The sequence below is a fragment of the Homo sapiens genome, chromosome 22 (genome assembly GCF_000001405.40).
Source record: "Homo sapiens chromosome 22, GRCh38.p14 Primary Assembly".
Lineage (NCBI taxonomy): Eukaryota > Metazoa > Chordata > Mammalia > Primates > Hominidae > Homo > Homo sapiens.
In genome coordinates, this window is record NC_000022.11 from 23,751,841 (window position 1) to 23,772,480 (window position 20,640).

The window sequence follows — 20,640 nt, forward strand, 5'->3', positions numbered from 1 at the left end:
TGGATCACGAGGTCAGGAGTTCGAGACTCAGCCAGACCAACATGGTGAAACCCTGTTTCTACTAAAAATTATCCGGGAGTGGTGACAAGCGCCTGTAATCCCAGCTACTGAGACAGGAGAATCGTTTGACCCTGAGAGGCGGAGGTTGCAGTGAGCCAAGATAGTGCCATTGCACTCCAGCCTGGGCGACAGAGCGAGACTCCATCTCAAAAAACAAAAAAAAAAAAAAGAAAAGGAATCTCCGCCCCCTCCTTGCTGCTGATGGCAAGACTGGCCCCTCCACCCAGTGTTCTGCCCATGACACCCCCCCCTCAGGTGCAGCTGCCCAGCTTGTGGGAGAGCTTCCCTCCGCAGACCTTGGCCCAATCACAGGACATCAGGAGAACACACTGTCCCTGGGAAAAAGGATTCTGCCCCAGCCGCCCACCTGCCTTCAGCACCCTCAGCCTTGGCGCTCGAGTGCCTCCAATGCTACCCACACACACCTGCCTTCCTGCCCCATTAATGCTCTGTCGGGCCTTGGGCACAGACTCCAAGGGGTAGGCAGTGGCTGCCCCTCCCCAAGCCAACAGCCTGAGCTCCATGGGGACCAGCCACCCTAGAGCCATAACCCTTGGACCATAACCAGCCATGCAGAGTTGGGGGCGGCAAGGGCTGGTTCCTTTTTCTCCCTCCGGCTCCTCAGGTCACAGGAAGGTCAGGCTACCAGTTTGAGCCCCCAGGGGGCCATGGTGGGGGAGTCTGGGCCATGCCCCAATAGTCTCAGGTGCTTCCTCTTTGACAACAGTCCCCAGAATCCCCATTCCCCCGCACACTGCTCCCCACCCCAGGAGTGGGTCTTCGACTCCCAGACCCACCACAGTCATTTTTCTCAGCCAGGATCTTATGACCCTCACAATAGCTGTTGTTGACATGTTGAATATTATTAACCCATTTTACAGAGGGGAAGCAAGGCTCAGAGAAAGTTTAAAAGGGACCCAAGGTCAGGGGCAGAAATGGGAGGCAGAGGGGAGGCACCCATCTCACACCCCACCCCTAGGGACTAAAGCCGTAGCCAACAGAGCAGTAGTAATCCGCGTCGTCTTCAGGCTGCACGGGACTAATGGTGAGGACACAGGCATTGTGGGCCTCATCCTTGGCTGCCGAGAATCGATCGGGGATGTCAGCAGGCCGGTGGTGATCCTCCTCCGAGCGGTAGTAGAGGAGATATCGAGGGGCACTGCCTGCCCGCTGCTGGTACCAGGACACACCGTAGTCCCTGATGGTGACGTGCTGGGGGCTGAGCGTGCAGGAGAGTTGAGCCACTTGGCCTGGGAAGACCAGCAGTGCATCCAGCTGGGCCAGGACTGTCTGGGAAACTGCGAGACACAAACCCACTCAGCCTGAGCCCCTTCCCTCCCACCCCTGCCCTGTGAAGGCTTGGTTGGACTCCATGGAGACTCCCAGTCCCAAAGGGCTCATAGCCCAGTGCTATGGGATTAGCAATGAACGGGGTGCAGGAGGCCTGGTTCTGTGTGACTTAGGGTGCCCTATCTGGACCTCCATCTCCCTTTGTGAGTGAGGGGTTTGGAGTTAGCCCCCAAATCTCCATTAGTGCCATATCCTCAAGGATCTGTGTTCAGTTAAAGGCCCAGAGCTCAGAAGGTTGGACTAGCAGCCTCTAGGTCCCTCTGCTACCCACCCACGTTTCTCTGCAGAACTGCACCCCTCTCCCCCACTTCCCCGCCCACTTCACTTCAGCTCTTCCAAACCCTGAATACAGACTAACCACCCCCAGGAACCTCCTGGGCTGTCCCACACATCAACTCAGCCTCAGGCAACTGGCTGCAGGGACCCTCTCAGGGAGGTTAGATTGCCTCAGGCCCTGTGGGGTAGGGACCAACCCACAATAGCTTCCCCTGTGAAAAACTAAGAAGGAGACCCAAAGTCAGAGTCCAGGGCTCTAGTGATCTGGTCATTCACGAATGAGAAAACCAAGGCCCACACAGGGAAGTGATTTGCCCCAGGTCAAGGGCAGAGCTGTCTGAAGCCAGGTCACCCCTCTACCTGAATACGCCTCCCAGCCAGGTGCAGTGGCTCAAGCCTGTAATCCTAGCACTTTGGGAAGCTGAGGTGGGCGGATCACCTGAGGTCAGGAGTTTGAGACCAGCCTGACCAACATGAAGAAACCTTGTCTCTACTAAAAATACAAAATTAGCCAGGCGTGGTGGCGCATGCCTGTAATCCCAGCTACTCAGGACGCTGAGGCAGAAGAATCGCTTGAACCTGGGAGGCAGAGGTGCAGTGAGCCGAGATTGCACCGTTGCACTCCAGCCTGGGCAACAAGAGCAAAACTCCGTCTCAAAAAAAAAAAAAATACCCCTCCCAGGACCTGCCCTACTGTCCCCATCGATTTGCCTCCTTGCAGGGGCCTTCTGGGGCCAGTACTGTTCCCCACCCCACACCCAGGTGACTGAGGCCCAGGAAAGATTCACCTGACAGGAAGGTCCCCATCAGAAGGAAGCTGAGGCACCGGCAGGCCATGGCCAGAGGCAGGGAGGCAGGCAAGTAGAAGTTCTGCAAGGCTATATGCTCCAGGTGCTTTGGGGCACAGGGCTGGGAAGGCCACTGGACCACAACAGAGCATGCAAATCAGCCTATTGACTGAGGAAGGAGGGGCGGTGACTGGGGCCCAATGGCCAAGCCTTTTCTTCCCAAATGTCAGGGTCCTGGCACCACAAGGCCTTCCAAGAATAGGAGCCCAGAAGTCCTCATGTGCAGTTATAGCAGGTGGAAATCTACTTTTTTATTGAGGTACAACTAGCATACAGTAAAGTGCATAAATCTTAAGTGCATAGCTTGATGATTTTATGTATATGTATGTATGCCCACAAGCATGCATGCATGCATGTGCGCGCACACGCACACGCGCGCACACACACACACACACATACACACGCACACACAGACCCCTGCAACCTCCACCCAGATCAGGATTTAGAAAATCTCGGCTGAGGGCGGTGGCTTACGCCTATAATCCCAGCACTTTGGGAGACGGAGGCAGGTGGATCACTTGAGGTCAGGAGTTTGAGACCAGCTTGGCCAACATGGTGAAACTCCATATTTTTTGTACTAAAAATACAAAAATTAGCTGGGCGTGGTGGTGCACACCTGTAGTCCCAACTACTGGAGAGGCTGAGGCAGGAAAATCGCTTGAACCCGGGAGGTGGAGGTTGCAGTAAGCCAAGATTGCTTCACTGCACTTCAGCTTGGGCGACAGAGCGAGACTATGTCTCAAAAAAAAGAAAAGAAAAAAGAACACCTCCATCTCCCCTGAAGGCCCCTCAGTTAATGACATGCACCCTCAAGGGAATCATCATTCTGACTTCTATCACCTTAGATTAGTTTGTGCCTGCTCTAGAACTTTAACTATAAGTGGAATGATAGTGTGCCCTCTTTTGTGCCTGCTTCTTTTGTTGAACATGATGGGAGTGATCCATGTGTGTGCAGCAATATTTCATTCATGCCCATAGCTGTGTGTAATCCATTGTGTGAATGCACTGTAATCAGGTTTTCCATTCTCCTATTGTTAGATATTTGGATGCTCTCCAGTCTTTGGCCATTACAAATACAACTTCTGTGAATGTCTCTGTCGATGTCTTTTGGTGTACTGGTGCACTCATTTGTGCTGGAGAGACACCCAGGAATGGAGCTGCCAGACGGCAAGGAAAGAATACATTTAGCTTTACTAGGTCTGCCAGGGTTCCTGATGTGTTTGTAACAATCTGGTCTTCCACCAGCAGAGTAAGAGAGTTTACTGTGACTTCGCATCCTCGCCAGCCCTTGACATTATCACAACCTTTAATTTGCCAGGATTCCAAGTAGCTGAGGTGGTTTTGAACTTGGGTTTGAATCCCAGCTCCTGCTTTTCTTAACTGCATGACTTCAGCCAAGTTACTTCCCCCCACTGTGCCTCGGTTTTCTCATCTGGAACATAAAGTTAAGCATAATGCCAGCCTGAGGATTGTGAAAATGCAAAGATGGGACCTATTTGCTCAGGGCTGGCCACAGTGGGTGGATTAACCATGTCATTTATTTTCTGTATTCCAGTGCTGTGTAATCTGGGCCCTTGCTGACCATTGAGGGACTAACCCTCCCAGGGTTACCCAGTCCCTATAGATAGTAAATAACTTTTTTTTTTTTTTCTGAGACGGAGTCTCACTCTGTCGCCCAGGCTGGTGTGCAGTGGCGCGATCTTGGCTCGATGCAAGCTCCGCCTCCTGGGTTCACGCCATTCTCCTGCCTCAGCCTCCCGAGTAGCTGGGACTACAGGTGCCCGCCACTGCGCCTGGCAAATTTTTTATATTTTTAGTAGAGATGGGGTTTCACCATGTTAGCCAAGATGGTCTCGATCTCCTGACCTTGTGATCTGCCCGCCTTGGCCTCCCAAAGTGCTGGGATTACAGGTGTTAGCCACCGCGCCCAGCCGATAGTAAATAACTCTTTTTCTTTTTTTTTTTTTTGAGACAGAGTCTCACTCTGTCACCCAGGCTGGAGTGCAGTGGTGCGATCTTGGCTCACTGCAAGCTCTGCCTCCGGGTTGACGCCATTCTCCTGCCTTAGCCTCCCGAGTAGCTGGGACGACAGGCGCCCACCACCATGCCCGGCTAATTTTTTGTATTTTTTAGTAGAGACGGGATTTCACCGTGTTAGCCAGGATGGTCTCAATCTCCTGACCTTGTCATCTGCCCACCTTGGCCTCCCAAAGTGCTGGGATTACAGGTGTGAGCCACTGCACCTGGCCAACTCTTTTTCTTTTTTATCAGACAGAGTCTCGTTCTGTCCCCCAGGCTGGAGTACAAAAGCACCATCTCCACTCACTGCAACCTCCGCCTCCCGGGTTCAAGCGATTTTCCTGCCTCAGCCTCCCAAGTACCTGGGATTACAGGCATGCGCCACCAGGCCCAGCTAATTCTTTTTGTATTTTTAGTAGAAATGGGATTTCACCATGTTGGCCAAGATAATTTCGGTCTCCTGACGTCAAATGGTCCACCTACTTCGGGCTCTCAAAGTGCTGGGATTACAAGCTTGAGCCACCTCACCCAGCCATGATAGTAAATAACTCTTCTGAAAGCACGCTTTTCAAATGCAAGTCAACTAATCCCAACCCCCTCAACTCCCTCCTTAATCTGCTCTTATACTCCACCTGCCCTAATCTCTCCAGGGCCACGCACCAGACAACTAGGGACAGCCCATGCCCCAGAATCCACTTTAATTATTCAGTCCTAAGCCTGCCCAGCGTTGGAAACCACAATAGAGGCCCTTGCCCACAGTTCCTCCCTCTCCCTCTGCCTGCCCATCAACTGTGGTGCTTCCTGTGTGGCCCACCTTGGTGTACTCCCTGTTTTAGGGGAACTTTGAGTAACAAGCTATCTTTTCTTTTTCTTTTTTTTTTTTTTTTTGAGACGGAGTTTCGCTGTTTGTTGCCCAGGCTGGAGTGCAATGGTGCAATCTCAGCTCACTGCAACCTCCGCCTCCCAGGTTCAAGTGATTCTCCTGCCTCAGCCTCCCAAGTAGCTGGGATTACAGGCATGAACTGCCACGCCCGGCTAATTTTTTTTGTTTTTTTTTTTAGTAGAGACGGGGTTCACCATGTTGGTCGGTTTCACCATGTTGGTCAGGCTGGTCTCGATCTCCTGACCTCATGATCTGTTCGCCTTTGCCTCACAAAGTGCTGGGATTAAAGGCGTGAGTCACTGCGCCTGGCTACAAACTATGTTTTCAATGGCACTTCCCCCCTGCCCCTCCCCTCCCCTCCCCTTCCCTTTCTTTTCTTTTCTTCTTTTCTCTTTTCTTTTCGTTTTTCTTGAGACAGAGTCTTGCTCTGTTGCCCAGGCTGGAGTGCAGTGGCGCGATGCTCAGCTCACAACCTCTGCCTCCTGGGTTCAAGCGATTCTCTTGCCTCAGCCTCCCGCGTACCTGGGACTACAGGTGCGCATCACCATGCCCAGCTAATTTTTGTATTTTTAGTATATTTTGTATTTTTGTATATTTAGGAGACGGAGTTTCACTGTTTACCTCGTGATCTGCCTGCCTCGGTCTCCCAAAGTGCTGGGATTACAGGCGTGAGCCACCGTGACCAGCCTTCTTTTTCTTTTTTCTTTTTTTTTGAGACGGAGTGTTGCTTTTTCTTTTTTCTTTGAGACAAGGTCTCATTCTGTCACCCAAGCTGAAGTACAGCGGCTTGATCATAGTTCACTGCAGCCGTGAACTCCTGGGCTCAAGCAGTCCTCCTACCTTAGCCTCCGGAATAGCTAGGATTACAGGTGCATGCCACCATGCCTGGCTAATTCTTTTATTTTTGTTTAATTGATGTACTTATTTTGAGACAAAGTCTTGCTCTGTTATCCAGGCTGGAGTAGAGTGGTGTGATCATAGCTCATTTGCAGCCTCGAACTTCTGTGCTCAAGTGATCCTCCCACCTCAGGCTCTCGAGAAGCTAGGACTACAGGTGTGAGCCACCATGCCCAGCTAATTCTTTAATTTTTTTTTTTTTTTTTTTTTTTTTGTAGAGACAGGGTCTTACTATGTTGCCCAGGCTGGTCTTGAATTCCCAGCCTCAAACGATCCTCCTGCTTCAGCCTCCCAAAGTGCTAGGATAACAGGTGTAAGCCACCGTGCCTCACAAGAGTGCACCATTTTAATCGGTTTTATTATTATTCAAGTAAGGTAAGGCTAACATCAGAAAATAACTGTGACACTGAGCACGGTGTCTCACGCCTGTTATCCTAGCACTTTGAGATGCCAAGGCAGGAAAATCGTTTGAGGCCAGCAGTTTGAGACCAGCCTGAACAACGGAGCAAGACCCTGTCTCTACAAAAAAATTTTTTTAATTGGCCAGGCGTGGTGGCTCACATCTGTAGTTTTAGCTACTTGGGAGCCTGAGGTGGGAGGATCACTTGAGCACAGGAGTTTGAGGCTGCAGTGAGCCATGTTTGTGCCACTGCACTCCAGCCTGGATGACAGAGTGAGACTCTGTCTCAAAAAATAATAATAAGGCTGGACGCAGTGGCTCATGCCTATAATCTCAGCACTTTGGGAGGCGGAGGCGGGGGGATCACTTGAGCTCAGGAATTTGAGACCAGCCTGGTCAACAGGGTAAAACCCTGTCTCTACGAAAAATACAAAAAATTAGCCAGGCGTGGTGGTGTGCACCTCTAATCACAGCTACTAGGGAGGCTGAAGCGGAAGAATCACTTGAACCTGGGAGGCTGCAGTGAGCTGAGATCGTGCCACTGCACTACAACCTGGGCGACAGAGTGAGACTCTGTCTCAAAACAAAACAAAACAAAAACAAACAAACAAAAAAAACATGGGCGGGGCTAGGTGGCCCATGCCTGTGATCCCAGCACTTTGGGAGGCTGAGGTGGGCGGATCACAAGGTCAGGAGTTCGAGACCACCCTGGCCAATGTGGTGAAACCCTGTCTCTACTAAAAATACAAACAAAATTAGCTGGGCATGGTAGTGGGCGCCTGTAATCCCAGCTACTCAGGAGGCTGAGGCAGGAGAATCACTTGAACCTGGGAGGTGGAGGTTGCAGTGAGCCAAGATCGTGCCATTGCACTCCAGCCTGGGCGACAAGAATGAAACTCTGTCTCAAAAAAGAAAAAAAAAAAAAAACATGGAGCACTTTTTCCCGGGACAGAACCATATCTGGGAATCCACGTCCCACAGAACACAGCTCAGGAGACTGTTAAGTGTGGAGCCTCCAGTGCCTGAAGCCAGAATCTGGAAGGAAAGGCCACTCCAGGCCTGGAGCCTCAGCTCTTGTAGTCACCATCTGCCATCCAAGGATCTCCTCTTCAGTGCCACCAAGGAGGGAATCAAGAGACTGTATCTTGACTGTCATGGAGATACCCTGAGGAGGTGTCAAGAATGGAGTGGTACCTGGGAAGGGGCTATGTAGCCTCCCCAAGGGAATTCTGGAGGCTGTGAGTTAAAAAAAGGGCACTGTTTTTTGTCTTTTTTTTTTAGTCAAGGTCTCACCGTGTCACCCAGGCTGAAGCGTAGTGGTGTGATTTTAATTAATTTCTGCCTTGAACTGGGCTCAAGTGATCTTCCCGCCTCAGCCTCCCGAGGAGCTGGGACTACAGGTGTGAGCCACCACGCCCAGCTAATGTTTTTATTTTTACAGAGATGAGGCCTTGCTGTGTTGCCCAGGCTGGGCAGATCCTCAGCCTCCCAAAGTGTTGGGATTACAGGCATGAGCCACTGCGCCTGGCCATCTCATGTTTAAGTAAGCTTGGGAAGTGCTACCTGTTTCTGCAATACTGATTGGAGTGCTTGCTCCATCACGGTGCTGAGCACAGAGACAGCTCTTTAAAATTTATCACACTTAATCGTCACCACAGCCCTGCTAAGTCACGGGTCATACCCCCCTTTTACAGATGGAAACACCAAGGCAGTCCAAAGGAAAGTGCTTATCCAGAGCCGGAGTCTGACAATGGCAGGCTTCATGGAAGACTCAGATTTCCTCCACCCTCACTGTCCAGAACTCTGCCTGTAAAAGGCAGGACACAGCCGAATCATGGGGGCTGGAAGCACTTCTAAAACCTTGGGGGTAAGGGAGCTGGGGAAAGGGAGGTGTTGCTCCAGGCATCCACCTGGTGCCCTGGCTGGAAAGGTCTGGTGGGGGTCATGGGGTGAGGGCAGGAGACAGAAGTGGAGAGACAGAGACAGAGGGGAGGCAGTAAGCAGGAAGGAAAGGGAAAGGATAATGAAAAGAGACATGAGAACAAAAGTCAAAGGAAGGATGAACACGGAGAGGCAAAAAAACCAATGTGAGGCTGGGACCAGTGGCTTGCACCTGTAATCCCAGCACTTTGGGAGGCCAAGGTAAGAGGATTGCTTGACCCCAAGAGTTCAAGACCAGTCTAGGCAACATAGTGAGACTCCATCTCTACAAAATTAAAAAGAAAAAAATTTCAACAGGCATGGTGGCATGCACCTGTAGACCCAGCTACTCAGGAGGCTGAAGTGGGAGGATTGCTTGAGCCCGGCAGGCCAAAGCTGCAGTGAGCTGTGATTGTGCCACTGCACTGCAGCCTGGGCAGCAGAGTAAGACCCTGTTTCAAAAAAAAAGAGAACAGAAAAGAAAGAAAAGAAGAAAGGAAGGAAGGAAAAGAAAAAGAAAGAGAGAAAAGGAAGGAAGGAAGGAAGGAGGGAAGGAAGGAAGGAAGGGCAAAAGAGCGAAAGAGCAAAAGAGCGAGAAAGCAAGCCAGCCAGCCGGGCGCAGTGGCTCACGCCTGTAATCCCAGCACTTTGGGAGGCCGAGGGGGGGCAGATCACCTGAGGTCAGGAGTTCGAGACCAGCCTGGCCAACATGGAGAAACCCTGTCTCTACTAAAAATACAAAATTAGCCAGGTGTGGTGGCACATGCCTGTAATCCCAGCTACTTGGGACGCTGGGGCAGGAGAATCGCTTGAACCCAGGAGGCGGAGGTTGCGGTGAGCTGAGATTGCACCATTGTACTCCAGCCTGGGCAACAAGAGCAAAACTCTGTCAAAAAAAGAAAGGAAGGAAGGAAGGGAGGGAGGGAGAGAGGGAGGGAGGAAGAGAAAGGAAAAAAGGGAAAGGAGGGAGGGGAGGGGAGGGGAGAGGAGGGGAGGGGAGAGAGAATGTGAAGCCTAGACAGAAAAGGAAGACGGAGAGGAGGGGAACAAGAAGGGGAGAGACTGGGAGAAGCAGACAAATACAAAAGACACGAAATGGCCGAAATGGCCGGGCACAGTGGCTCATTCCTATAATCACAGCACTTTGAGAAGCTCAGGCAGGTGGATCACCTGAGGTCAGGAGTTCGAGACCAGCCTGGCCTTCCTTATGTCTACTAAAAATACAAAAAATTAGCCAGGGGTGGTGGCTGGCGCCTGTAATACCAGCTACTCCGGAGGCTGAGGCAGGAGAATCGCTTGAACCCGAGAGGCGGAGGTTGCAGTGAGCCGAGATTGCGCCACTGCACTGCAGCATGGCTGACAGAGCGAGACTCATTCTCAAAAAAAAATAAATAGGTCAGGCTTGGTGGCTCAGCACTTTGGGAGGCCAAGATGGGCGGATCATTTGAGGTCAGGAGTTCGAGACCAATCTGACCAATATGGTGAAACTCCATCTCTATTAAAAATACAAAAAAAGGCCGGGCGCAGTGGCTCACGCCTGTAATCCTGTAATCCCAGCACTTTGGGAGGCCGAGGCGGGCAGATCACGAGGTCAGGAGATTGAGACCGTCCTGGCTAACATGGTGAAACCCCGTCTGTACTAAAAATACAAAAAAAATTAGCTGGGCGTGGTGGCGAGCGACTGTAGTCCCAGCTACTCAGGAGGCTGAGGCAGGAGAAAGGCGTGAACCCGGGAGGCGGAGCTTGCAGTGAGCCGAGGTCACACCACTGCACTCCAGCCTGGGCGAGGGAGCGAGACTCCGTCTCAAAAAAAAAAAAAAAAAAAAAAAAAACTAGCCAGGTGTAGTGGTGCACACCTGTAGTCCCAGTTACTTGGGAGGCTGAGGCAGGAGAATCGCTTGAACTCGGGAGGCGGAGGTTGCAGTGAGCCGAGATCGTACCACTGCATTCTAGCCTGGGTGACAGGGAGACTCCATCTCAAAAAATAAAAATTTAAAAAACACCAATAATAATAATAATTAATAAACTTAATAAATAAATAAATAAAAGACAGGAAATGACGGTGAGAACCGGTGTGAGGGACTAGCTAGTGGCCAGTGCTAACAAGGAGGTGCTTGTGACCTGCTATGGACCTGGAAGCGACTAGGGCTGAGTACAAAGGGGGCAAAGGAATTTGGGGGTGATGGAAATGTTCTGTATCTTGACTGTGGTGGTGGTTATATGAGAGTTGGCATAACTTTAAAACACCAGAAAGGGTGAACTTTACTGTACAAGTGGTTCACAACTGCAATCCCAGCACTTGTGGGAGGCTGGGGCTGGAGAATTGCTTGAGCCAAGTTCGAGACCAGCCTGGGCAACATAGGGAGACTGTCTCTAAAAAAAATCAATCCCAATGATGGCATTCCCCGCCTCAGGGAATGCCAGCCCCCACTTCTTCTGTCACCTCTCCCCCATGGGCCCCGTTAACGGATACAGGGAGGAAGGCATTTCCTGCCTAGATGTCTCCGCCCCCACTGCCATGGAGACCAGCTTGGAAGCTTAGGGGAGCTGCTGTGGCCCAGGGCTCAGTGGGGAGGAAGAGGAGGCCAGGAGTCTTGGACTAGCTGCAGGGTTTGAGCTAGGCTGAAGCAGCAGAACCACAGAGGTGGCTGAGCAGGGGCCTGGCCCTGGGACCCAGCCATCCACACTCACACATCCACTTCTCCCTCCAGAGCCCGGCCCTGAAGCAGGTCTCTGCTCCACGCTTTTCCTTAGTTGGGGAATCGAGAGTTGGGGGATCAAAGCCCCCCACATCTCCCTCACCCGCTGCAGCTATGTTTATCAAGGTGATGTTTGGGGGTAAGTGGGGTCCCCTGTCTTGGTAGGCGGATAGGGGGATGAGCACACTCAGAGGCGTGCTTCCTTCCGCCCTTGCGGTGGGTGGGGAGGCAATGGCGGGAAAGGGGGGTGGTGCACATGGCGGGGGTCGTCGGGGAAGCGGCTCTGTGAGGAGGCGAAGCCAGCACCTGGAGCGAGTCCCTTAAAGGGAAAACCCGAGCTGAGTCCTGCTCATTCACAAGGGTTCCTCTCGGCCAGAGACCGCCGCATTACCCTGGAGCAGGTTTTTAAGCCGCACAATCTCTTCGCCATTCAATCCGTGATCCTCAAGCTTCAGCGTGCATCAGACACCTGAAACTCTAGCCACAGTTGCAGGGTCCCCGTGCCTCTGGCTGGAGGCGGGTCGGCCCTGTGCGGTAGCGGAAGGGAAGAGAGGAGCCGGTGGGTGCGGAGGGCGGGGACTGGCTGGGTCCCGTGGGGGCGGGTCCCGGGAGGAGGCTGGGCTGGCGCCCACTTCGTGCTTTGCAGGACTCAAGAGACCAACACTTGGGAGTCACCACACATGGGAGAAAAGTCACCACACATGGGAGATGGATGGAGGGTTCTCCAAGGCAGTTTAAGCAACAGATGTTGGAGCTGTTATGCCCGGGGCACAGTCTTAGCCCATAGGCCCAGTCGCAGCTCTGGGAAAGGGAGAGATGGGAGGGAGAGACAGAGGACCCCGATTTGGAGGAAGGTAAGAGATCTCACAGGCTCACCTTTGCCCCTCTCCACAGCTGGCTGCTCGGTGCTGGTGAACACCTCTTGCAGGCTGGTGAACCTCACCGCCCACCTGAGGCAGAAAGCAGGGTTGCCCCCAGATGGTGAGGAGACAGGGAGGAGAAGGAGGGGCTGAGGGGTCCCAGGCAGGGGTGCCAGCCCTGCCCAGTCTCTCTCCATGTCCTCCCAGCGACCATTGCTCTCCTGGCTGAGGATGGCAACCTAGTGAGCCTGGAGGAGGACCTGAAGGAAGGGGCTTCCCGGGCCCAGACCATGGGCAACTCCCTACTGAAGGAGCGAGCCATATATGTCCTCGTTCGGATCATCAGTAAGGTGGCCCAAGGTTCTCTCCCCTGCAGCTATGGTAGAATGTAAGAGGGGGGCATAGCAGACCATAGACCACCCAAGGCCCTGTCCGGCCTCCCACCTCGGCTGGGGACCTAGCCCCAATCCATCCCTACCCAATGCTCTGCTCCCAGCCTGGACTAGCAAACAGTTCCAGAGTGAGAGGCAGAGTAGGGACCATTAGGCCAGTCAGGTGTCCTTCATCGTCTCTCCACATGTCACAGAGGGAGAGGACATGGCCTCCACCCGCTATGAGTCCCTATTGGAGAACCTGGATGACCATTACCCAGAGCTGGCAGGTGAGTGTCAGGGTACAGCCCAGGGGGAGGGCACACCTTCTCCCTAACCCCTACCAACAGGACTTCCTGGGCCTTCCAGAGGAACTGCGCAGGCTGTCAGGCCTCTCCTCTGTGGGCCACAACTGGAGGAAGCGTATGGGCACTCGGCGAGGCCGCCATGAGCAAAGCCCCACTTCAAGGCCCAGAAAGGTGAGCTCCCTGCCACCCAGGAGTTGCTAGCTGGGGCAGGGAGCCAGGTACAGAGCAGATTTGGACATCCACAGAGACACCCAGAGTGGGATCCCTTCCTGCAGGACAGACACATATGATGAGGGGCAGACCCTCAACACCAACTCCACGCACATATACCCCCAGATGGAACACACTGTACCCTGAGACAGGTCCCCACCACCCCACGGGAGTGCCAGCGCACTAAGGGCCGGAATGTCCTCAGGCTTCACAGATGTGGCATAGGGGCTGGCACACAGTAGGAGCTCAGTGCACAACTGCTGGATGAACTCAATGAAGGCGGCAGCATGGTGTGTGATGGCACGGCCCACACTGGGTTTGAAGGGCTTGTTCTTCCATTCTGGCAGGCTTGGGGACCTGGCACACTACTGCCAACTAGCCAAGTTGGACTCAGACCCAAGGGGGTTAGCCATGACCTCTGCCTTGTGTGATCAGGTGCAAACAGACAACAACCCAGCAGGACTCCTCTTGCAGAATCTGGAATTGCTGAGAAGTTGCATCAGCAAGAGGGGCAAGGTCAGACAGGATTTGAGGCCGCCAGGGGCACCTAAGCTGTGGGTGCAGAGAATGGGATGCAGAGGTAGAGACAAGAAGGGTAGAGGTGGCAGGTATCCCTGATAAGGGGGAGACCATGGGTTCATCCTGGGATTCCACCCTCAGAGTCAGATGCCCTTGGGATCACCGACTAATGCCTCTCCACCTCACTCTGGACTGCCCAAGGAATCTGTCCTGTGCTACCCACAGTGCAGATTGCAACAGGGCTCCTCCTCCCCACCCAGGGCCCTGATTAAGGGGATGGATTGCACACTGTAGTGAGACATCCATCCTGACCCCACCTCATCAGCCAGGGAGCTCCCTGAAGACAGGCCATCGAGAGAGGCACACAACAGGCTGTGGTCTAAAATAAACTTTTAATTGCACATTTGTGTCTTGGGTTATCTGTGGGGTGAGAAACCTCCTCACTTCCAATCCCAGCTATCTGGGTACAATCTGGTGTTGTGGTCTGGCTGTCGGCGAGGGGTAGAGGTGGGTGCAGGACTGGCCCCCGAGTCTGCACCGACCTCTTCAGGGCAGGGAGCTCAGACCTGGGAAGGGAGGGGCAGCACAGGCTGGTGGTCAGCCTGCAGGTGCAAGAGGAGGGTTGGCCTCTCCCCCTCCCCGCCTGAGTCGGGGTCCACTCACTCACCATGGTAGTACTTGCACTGCTTCAGGGCCTCGCTGAAGCCCTCACACAGGGACAGGTCACTCTGAGTGGTGGAACAGTCCAGGAACTGCCTGATCTCGTAGGCGCAGGGCCCCATCTGCAGGGGCTGGGGGGCAGCGGGGGTGGGGGCCTGGGGGTACAGTGCAAGAGGCTGCAGGATCAGCTTGGAGTTGGCACCTGGAGGTGCGTTTCAAACCTGGGGCCACCTGCCCCTCCCCACATCCCCAGCCTGGGTGTCCCAAGGGTCCTAGGCAGGCTGAGTGATCCAGCAGCAGAGGCGGCTACAGACAGCATGTTTCTGCTGCCTTTTTTTTTTTTTTTTTTTGAGACAGAGTCTCACTCTGTCACCTAGAGTGGAGTGCAGCGGCGCAGTCTCGGCTCACTGCAACCTCCGCCTCCCGGGTTCAAGTGGTTGTCCTGCCTTGGCCTCCCAAGTAGCTGGGGCTACAGGCGCCCGCCACCATGCCCAACAAATTTTTTGTATTTTTAGTAGAGAGGGGGTTTCACTATGTTGGCCAGGCTGGTATCGAACTCCTGAACTCATGATCCACCCGCCTTGGCCTCCCAAAGTGCTGGGATTACAGGCATGAGCCACTGCGCCTGGCCTCTGCTGCCTTCTAATGGGCACTTTGGGCGGGTGCAGGAGAGGGAGGAGAAGGCTCTAGGAAAGCCCAGTACTCTGCCTGTACTCTCAGAGTATGAGCCCCACCCCCACAAGTTCTAGCACCTTCCTGGCTCAGCTACACTAATCCTCATGACCCCTGACCTAGCCACAAAGCCACATTTGGCTTACGGCGGTGGGGTTCCTAGCAGGGGAAAGGTCATCAGGGAAGTGGCTCCCCTTCGCCCTTGCGCCCAGCGGCCACAGTGCCCAGACCTGGGTGTGGGGAGAACAGGGGCTCAGGAAATCCAACATCCCTCCCCTCTGCTAGGGTGAGGTGACCTTGGGCGAGTCTCTGAGCCCTCAGGGCCTGGGTTTCCCATCTTTAAAGGGCTGGTTGGTGTCTCTCCCTGGGAGCTTAGGGACCCTGGCCTCAAGGGAGAGGCCGGGAAGCCTGCCTCTAAGTGACAGTGAACTCAAGACCAGTGGACTAGGACCCTTCCCGGGCAGAGTCCTGGGCTGAAGCAATGGTGAATACACGCGGACACTCCTCACTGGACACTTGGGCAGCTCCCTGTGTGGCCTCGAGATAATCCTGCCTCAGTTTCTCTTGGACTCGCTGCTCACCTGCTGGACAGCAGGCTGGGAGGGCTCCGAGCTCCCCCCGCTGAAGGCTCCGGTCAGGGCGCTGCCCATGACGTGTCCCACAGCCGAGCCCACGGCTACCCCTGCGGCCGTGGTCGCCATCTGAGCCATGAGCCCCGGCTGGCCCGAAGGGGCGGGGGCTGGGGCGGCTGCCGAGGGCGGTGGGTGCGCGGGCGGGTGGGCAGAGGGCGCGGCTGGGCGGCTGCGGGGGTGGGAGGAAGCAGGGTTAATCCTGGCCAGACCCCAGGCTGGAGGGCTGCAGCTCCTGGAAACGACCCCCGGAGAGATGGACGACCCACGTCTCCACACGTGGGTGCTGCACCCCCACCCCTCCCCCCGCCAAGATGGCGCAGCAGCAGCCAAGGTCACTCTGCGGACGCCCTTAGGGGAGTGCCCACACTTCCCTAACCCCCTCCCCACAGGGCCCTTGTCCCCCTCACACCTGGCTGGCCGGGAGGCCGCGCTGCGGCTTCCCCGAGGCATGGTGGCGGCGGTGGGACCCGGGCGACCTTAGAGACGGCGGCAGCGGTGCTGTCGCGGGGACAAATGCCGCAGCGCTTGTCACAGCCGGCGCAAAAAAGGCGGGGCCCCGGGCGGGGCCTCAGGAACACGCCCCCAGCGGGAGGCGGCACTGCCCCCAACCCTATCCCCCTTCTCCCGTCCTCCGGACATCTCCCTTCCAGCAGCTCCGGGTCTCGGCTGGAAATGGGACCCTGCTCCCTCCCTGCGCCTGGCAGGCTGTGCGGGTTCTGGGGACAGGGGCCAGTGTCGCAAAGCGCCGAGGGCTTAAGGAGGGCGACAGTGCCTTCTGTTAGGACCACCGCAGAGGGCAGGGAGCGGAGTTGGGGGTTGTTGCGAGCCCTGGAGGGGAGAGGAGACGGGGAGGCGACGGGATGGGGCCAGCTGGGAAGGGGACGCGAGGCTCCAGGCTGGACTCCGCTCTCTGCCCCCTCCCGGACTCGGCTGTCTGTCCCCTCCCTCCAGACAGGGTCTGCTGACCACCGCGTGGCCTGGGAGTCTCCGGTGGCCTAGGGAAGTGAAGCGCGGCCCTGGGGAAGGCCTGGAGCAACCCATCCCCAGAACTCCCACGAGGGGGCGTCCCAACCCGTCTTCGACTGTTGGCCAAAATGCGCTGCCAATGCTGGCAGCCTTACGCAGTGCCCGCGGGGGATATGAGGCCCCCCGCGCGGCCCTGAACCCCACCGGATTCCCCGGGCCGGCCCGACCGCCCCCACCTAGTCCCTGGCCCCGCGAGTGCAACCCCCGACACTAACGGCCTTTACGCGACATCCGAGCAGCGTGTCTATCCCAAAGGCCTAGGAGCATTTGCCCGGCTCGGTCAAATCTAGCGCAAGTTTGAAGCCTGCGGCCTCGCAATTTTAGCAGCTTCGTTCCAGGCCAGGTGAGCTGGAGCGCGGATTTAGAATGCTTTCCTGCTCTTCGAGAACTTGAGGTTTTAATTTTACTTTTTACTTTTTTTTTTTTGACACGGAGCCTTGCTCTGTCGCCCAGGTTGGAGTGCAGTGGCGATCTCGGCTCACTGCAACCTCCACCTCCCGGATTCAAGCAATTCTCCTGCCTCAGCCTCCTGAGTAGCTGGGACTACAGGCTCGTGCCACCACACCTGGCTAATTTTTGTATTTTTAGTAGAGACGGGGTTTCACCATGTTGGCCAAACTGGTCTCCAACTCCTGAGCTCATGATCCTCCTACCTCAGCCTCCCAAAGTGCTGGGATTACAAGCATGAGCCATCGCGCCCGGCTGAGCTTGAGGTTTTTATGGTCTTTTCTGGGTGACTTTGCAGTGGTCATATTATTACTCCTAGGTGGGGGAAGGTAGGGACTGTCCCTCATCACTGCTGTGCCTGCAGAGGACTCCTGACACCGGGATTGTCGGCAGGGTGCAACCAAGAGCAAAAGCACCCAGAAGTGGGGGTGTGGGTCACCAAGTAAGAGAGGAGGCCCCTCCATAAGGAAGGAGCAGGTCAAGGGGCAAGGGGAGTGGTGGCTGGGGCGTTTGGCCCTGCCTGGCATGCTCAATTCTGTGTGTGCACAGCTGTCCCCAGCCATGCATGCTCTCCATGGAAGTCAGGTGCAGCCCTGTGTTCTCTCACACTGCAGTCCTTTCAGCCAGCCTGTGAACAGGGCCCTTCCCCGCCCTGTCTTCAGTTTCTCCTCTCTGAAGGGGGGTGACCACCCACCTTGAGGGTGGCCTCCCAGTGAGGTGAGCACACCAAGGGTGGGCCATTCTTTCCTGGCAGACTCACCAGGCCTGGTCCAGCCGCTACTCCCTTGTTCATGCAGTCCATGCCACCTGGTTCCTGTTTGCCACACCAAACAAACTGAACACTTCTCATGGTGGTCCCCGGGCCTAAACTGCAGAGAGTTGTTACTTCAGCTCCCATGGCTGATGGACTGCAGGTTCCACAAAGCATGGCCTTGCACCTCGGAGGCACCCAAGACCACTTAAGTGGGTTACACAAATGAAAATGAGGCTGAAAGGATGACACTGAAGCAGGCATTGAAATGCCAACTTTTTTTTTTTTTTTTTTTTGAAACGGAGTCTTGCTCTGTCGCTCAGGCTGGAGTGCAGTGGTATGATCTCCACTCACTGCAACTTCTGCCTCCTGGGTTCAAGCGATTCTCTTGCCTCAGCCTCCCGAGTATCTGGGACCACAGGCACATGCCACCATGCCCCGCTAATTGTTTGTTTTTTGTTGTTTTTTTGTTTTTGTTTTTGTTTTTTTAAACAGAGTCTCACTCTGTTGCCAGGCTGGAGTGCGGTGGTGTGATCTCAGCTTACTGCAACCTCCACCTCCCGGGTTCAAGTGATTCTCCTGCTTCAGCTTCCCAAGTAGCTGGGACTACAGGCACGTGCCACCATGCCCAGCTAATTTTTTTTTGTATTTTTAGTAGAGACAGGGTTTCACCATGTTGGCCAGGATGGTCTCTTGTGATCCGCCTGCCTCAGCCTCCCAAAGTGCTGGGATTACAGGCATGAGCCACCACGCCTGGCCTGAAATGCCTACTTTTTAAAAATGAGTCACTTTAGCGGGGAATAGTGGCTCATGTCTATATCCCAGAACTTTGTGAGTCCCAGGCAGGCAGATTGCTTGAGTCCAGGAGTTCGAGACCAGCCTGGCCAACATGGTGAAACCCTGTCTCTACAAAAAATACAAAAATTAGCAGGGCATAGTGATGCACACCGGTAGTCCCAGCTACTTGGGAGGCTGAGGCAGGAGGATCGTTTGAGCCTGGAAGGCGGAGGTTGCAGTGAGCCAAGATCACACCATTGAGCAAGACCCTGTCTCAAAATAATAAAAGTAAATAAAAGTGAGTGACTTTAAAGAAAAGATTGCCTTTCAGGCGCGGTGGCTCACGCCTGTAATCCCAGCACTTTGGGAGGCCGAGGCGGGTGGATCACCTGAGGTCAGGAGTTCAAGACCAGCCTGGCCAACACGGTGAAACCCCATCTCTACTAAAAATATAAAAAATTAGCTGGGCATGGTGGCGGGCGCCTGTAGTCCCAGCTACTCGGGAGACTGAGGCAGGAGAATGGCATGAACCTGGGAGGCGGAGCTTGCAGTGAGCCGAGATCGCGTCACTGCACTCCAGCCTGGGCGACAGAGAGAGACTCCGTCTCAAAAAAAAAAAAAAAAAAAAGAAAAGATTACGAACAGTGTAGGTTGTAAAAATTACTGCTGTCTTACTTCTCCTCGCCCTCTAGGAGTCTCTGTGGAGTCTTCTTGAATAAGCTGTGAAACATTTCCCCACCCGCTTCCCTTTCTTGGCCCAGGCTTCCTGACCACAGCCTCACCTTTGAGCAGCTCAGAGCCCTGCCTGCCAGGATGCGAGCCACTGCCTGGATCGTGGCTCTGCAGGGCCACCCATGATGGAACAGGTCGCCTGGTGAGGTGGTGAGGCCCTTCATCATTTCAGGGGGTGTACAGCAGTACTGGGTAACCCCGAAAATCAGGGATGAGACTGAAGGATCCCTTCCAGAATGTGGACACAACCCCTCCTTTGAGTCTCACCTCCTTTCCTTCTTTTTTTTGAGATGGAGTCTCGCTCTGTCACCCAGGCTGGAGTGCAATGGAACAATCTCGGCTCACTGCAACCTCCGCCTCCCGGGTTCAAGTGATTCTCCTGCTTCAGCCTCCTGAGTAGCTGGGCTTACAGGTGTGTGCCACCACACCTGGCTAATTTTTGTATTTTTAGTAGAGACAGGGTTTCACCATGTTGGTCAGGCTGCTCTCCAACTCCTGACCTCGTGATCCACCTGCCTCGGCCTCCCAAAGTGCTGGGATTACAGGCATGAGCCACTGCGCCCGGCCTCTCGCCTCCTTTCTTTCAAGTCTGAGGTGGCTAGCCTGGAGGGGTCCCCAGGGGCTTGTTGGGCACTGACGAGGGGACACCCTGGGGGCCCAGTACTCCACTCAGACACCTCCCACAGCCTTCTGACAGCATCCTTCCCACAGCTGACCAGCTAGAGGACCTCCTGACCCCTCCACTTGTCTGCTGGTGTGGAAAAGCCTGGACCCTCCCTCTTGGAGCCTCAGTTTCCCTATCTGTAAACTTCGGTCTATCCCAAGCTGAAGAACTGGCCAGTCCCTGCCATATGCCTCACTTTCCCCTGGGACACATTTTAATATCCCTTTCCTGGCCAGGTGCAATGGCTTCCCCATGTAATCCCAGCACTTTGGGAGGCCAAGGTGGGCAGATCACTTGAGGTCAGGAGTTCGAGACCAGCCTGGCCAACATGGTGAAACCCCATCTCTACTAAAAATACAAAAATTAGCCAGGCATGGTGGCGCACGTCTGTGGTCCCAGCTACTTGGGAGGCTGAGGTAGCAGAATCGTTTGAACCTGGGAGGCGGAGGTTGCAGTGAGTGGAGATCACACCACTGCACTCCTGCCTGGGAGACAGAGTGAGACTGTGTCTCAAAAAATAATAATAATAAAAAATAAAATAATATCCCTTTCCTCACAGGGGCTATTGTGTCATCTTCTAGAAGGATCCGTTGAGGCTCTGAGGGGTGGGGGAACTTGCTTGTGGGTAGGACCACCTGTCAGAGGTCAGAGGTCAGGCC

General features: G+C 54.5%; 3 protein-coding genes and 1 long non-coding RNA gene across 20 annotated transcripts, besides 6 other annotated features; 2 read left to right on the forward strand and 2 right to left on the reverse strand.

Moving 5' to 3' along the window:
• Positions 488-547: an enhancer, noted in NCBI's record as "active region_18759". NCBI's record gives its function as "activates an Ori minimal core promoter by ATAC-STARR-seq in GM12878 lymphoblastoid cells {active_cell/tissue: GM12878}" and the evidence as "EXISTENCE:reporter gene assay evidence [ECO:0000049][PMID:35858748]".
• On the reverse strand, positions 903-2,585 carry VPREB3 (V-set pre-B cell surrogate light chain 3). The gene is made up of 2 exons (NM_013378.3): positions 2,475-2,585; positions 903-1,358 (listed from the first exon to the last, which is right to left on the reverse strand). The coding sequence occupies exons 1-2, from the start codon at positions 2,521-2,523 to the stop codon at positions 1,036-1,038; spliced, it is 372 nt and encodes a 123-aa protein (NP_037510.1). The 5' UTR covers positions 2,524-2,585; the 3' UTR covers positions 903-1,035.
• Positions 1,058-1,731: an enhancer, noted in NCBI's record as "H3K4me1 hESC enhancer chr22:24095085-24095758 (GRCh37/hg19 assembly coordinates)". NCBI's record gives its function as "activates a minimal SCP1, AML or CMV promoter by ChIP-STARR-seq in primed H9 embryonic stem cells {active_cell/tissue: H9 hESC(primed)}" and the evidence as "EXISTENCE:reporter gene assay evidence [ECO:0000049][PMID:30033119]".
• Positions 2,508-3,008: an enhancer, noted in NCBI's record as "H3K4me1 hESC enhancer chr22:24096535-24097035 (GRCh37/hg19 assembly coordinates)". NCBI's record gives its function as "activates a minimal SCP1, AML or CMV promoter by ChIP-STARR-seq in naive H9 embryonic stem cells {active_cell/tissue: H9 hESC(naive)}" and the evidence as "EXISTENCE:reporter gene assay evidence [ECO:0000049][PMID:30033119]".
• Positions 2,628-2,677: a silencer, noted in NCBI's record as "silent region_13542". NCBI's record gives its function as "represses an Ori minimal core promoter by ATAC-STARR-seq in GM12878 lymphoblastoid cells {active_cell/tissue: GM12878}" and the evidence as "EXISTENCE:reporter gene assay evidence [ECO:0000049][PMID:35858748]".
• On the forward strand, positions 11,150-14,023 carry C22orf15 (chromosome 22 open reading frame 15). Of its 12 annotated transcripts, none has more exons than XM_024452160.2 (6): positions 11,150-11,491; positions 12,247-12,333; positions 12,399-12,562; positions 12,799-12,873; positions 12,953-13,062; positions 13,449-14,023. In XM_024452160.2, exons 1-6 carry the CDS (start codon positions 11,467-11,469, stop codon positions 13,717-13,719), a joined length of 732 nt encoding a protein of 243 aa, XP_024307928.1. In that variant the 5' UTR covers positions 11,150-11,466; the 3' UTR covers positions 13,720-14,023. The 12 variants fall into 12 exon arrangements, with proteins under 12 accessions (XP_024307928.1, XP_011528210.2, NP_001363832.1 ...); XM_011529908.3 differs by having other exon boundaries at positions 12,420-12,572; positions 13,537-14,023; NM_001376903.1 differs by lacking the exon at positions 12,953-13,062 and having other exon boundaries at positions 12,420-12,572; positions 13,537-13,617; positions 13,881-14,023.
• Positions 13,670-14,469: an enhancer, noted in NCBI's record as "H3K4me1 hESC enhancer chr22:24107697-24108496 (GRCh37/hg19 assembly coordinates)". NCBI's record gives its function as "activates a minimal SCP1, AML or CMV promoter by ChIP-STARR-seq in naive H9 embryonic stem cells {active_cell/tissue: H9 hESC(naive)}" and the evidence as "EXISTENCE:reporter gene assay evidence [ECO:0000049][PMID:30033119]".
• CHCHD10 (coiled-coil-helix-coiled-coil-helix domain containing 10) lies at positions 13,994-16,132 on the reverse strand. Of its 4 annotated transcripts, none has more exons than NR_125755.2 (4): positions 15,994-16,132; positions 15,534-15,700; positions 14,288-14,435; positions 13,994-14,186 (listed from the first exon to the last, which is right to left on the reverse strand). NR_125755.2 is itself a non-coding variant. In NM_213720.3 (4 exons), the coding sequence occupies exons 1-4, from the start codon at positions 16,032-16,034 to the stop codon at positions 14,167-14,169; spliced, it is 429 nt and encodes a 142-aa protein (NP_998885.1). In that variant the 5' UTR covers positions 16,035-16,132; the 3' UTR covers positions 13,994-14,166. The 4 variants fall into 4 exon arrangements, 2 of the variants coding, with proteins under 2 accessions (NP_998885.1, NP_001288268.1); NM_213720.3 differs by having other exon boundaries at positions 15,534-15,753; NM_001301339.2 differs by having other exon boundaries at positions 14,288-14,456; positions 15,534-15,753.
• Positions 14,470-15,269: an enhancer, noted in NCBI's record as "H3K27ac-H3K4me1 hESC enhancer chr22:24108497-24109296 (GRCh37/hg19 assembly coordinates)". NCBI's record gives its function as "activates a minimal SCP1, AML or CMV promoter by ChIP-STARR-seq in naive H9 embryonic stem cells {active_cell/tissue: H9 hESC(naive)}" and the evidence as "EXISTENCE:reporter gene assay evidence [ECO:0000049][PMID:30033119]".
• LOC107985577 (uncharacterized) lies at positions 16,386-20,537 on the forward strand. Of its 3 annotated transcripts, none has more exons than XR_001755453.2 (3): positions 16,386-16,953; positions 19,278-19,467; positions 20,029-20,537. It is a non-coding gene; the product is annotated as an uncharacterized LOC107985577 (long non-coding RNA). The 3 variants fall into 3 exon arrangements; XR_001755454.2 differs by having other exon boundaries at positions 19,278-19,459; XR_007068022.1 differs by having other exon boundaries at positions 19,347-19,467.

Coding starts and splice junctions, on each gene's coding strand:
- CHCHD10 (NM_001301339.2), bottom strand. CDS start 16,034: ATGCCTCGGGGAAGCCGCAGCGCGGCCTCCCGGCCAGCCAG. Junction 15,754..15,993: donor GCGGCCTCCCGGCCAGCCAG/GTGTGAGGGGGA, acceptor CCACCCCCGCAG/CCGCCCAGCCGCGCCCTCTG. Junction 14,457..15,533: donor CCCAGCCTGCTGTCCAGCAG/GTGAGCAGCGAG, acceptor CTGATCCTGCAG/CCTCTTGCACTGTACCCCCA.
- C22orf15 (XM_024452160.2), top strand. CDS start 11,467: ATGTTTATCAAGGTGATGTTTGGGG. Junction 11,492..12,246: donor TATCAAGGTGATGTTTGGGG/GTAAGTGGGGTC, acceptor CCCTCTCCACAG/CTGGCTGCTCGGTGCTGGTG. Junction 12,563..12,798: donor TCGTTCGGATCATCAGTAAG/GTGGCCCAAGGT, acceptor CACATGTCACAG/AGGGAGAGGACATGGCCTCC.
- VPREB3 (NM_013378.3), bottom strand. CDS start 2,523: ATGGCCTGCCGGTGCCTCAGCTTCCTTCTGATGGGGACCTTCCTGTCA. Junction 1,359..2,474: donor GATGGGGACCTTCCTGTCAG/GTGAATCTTTCC, acceptor TGTGTCTCGCAG/TTTCCCAGACAGTCCTGGCC.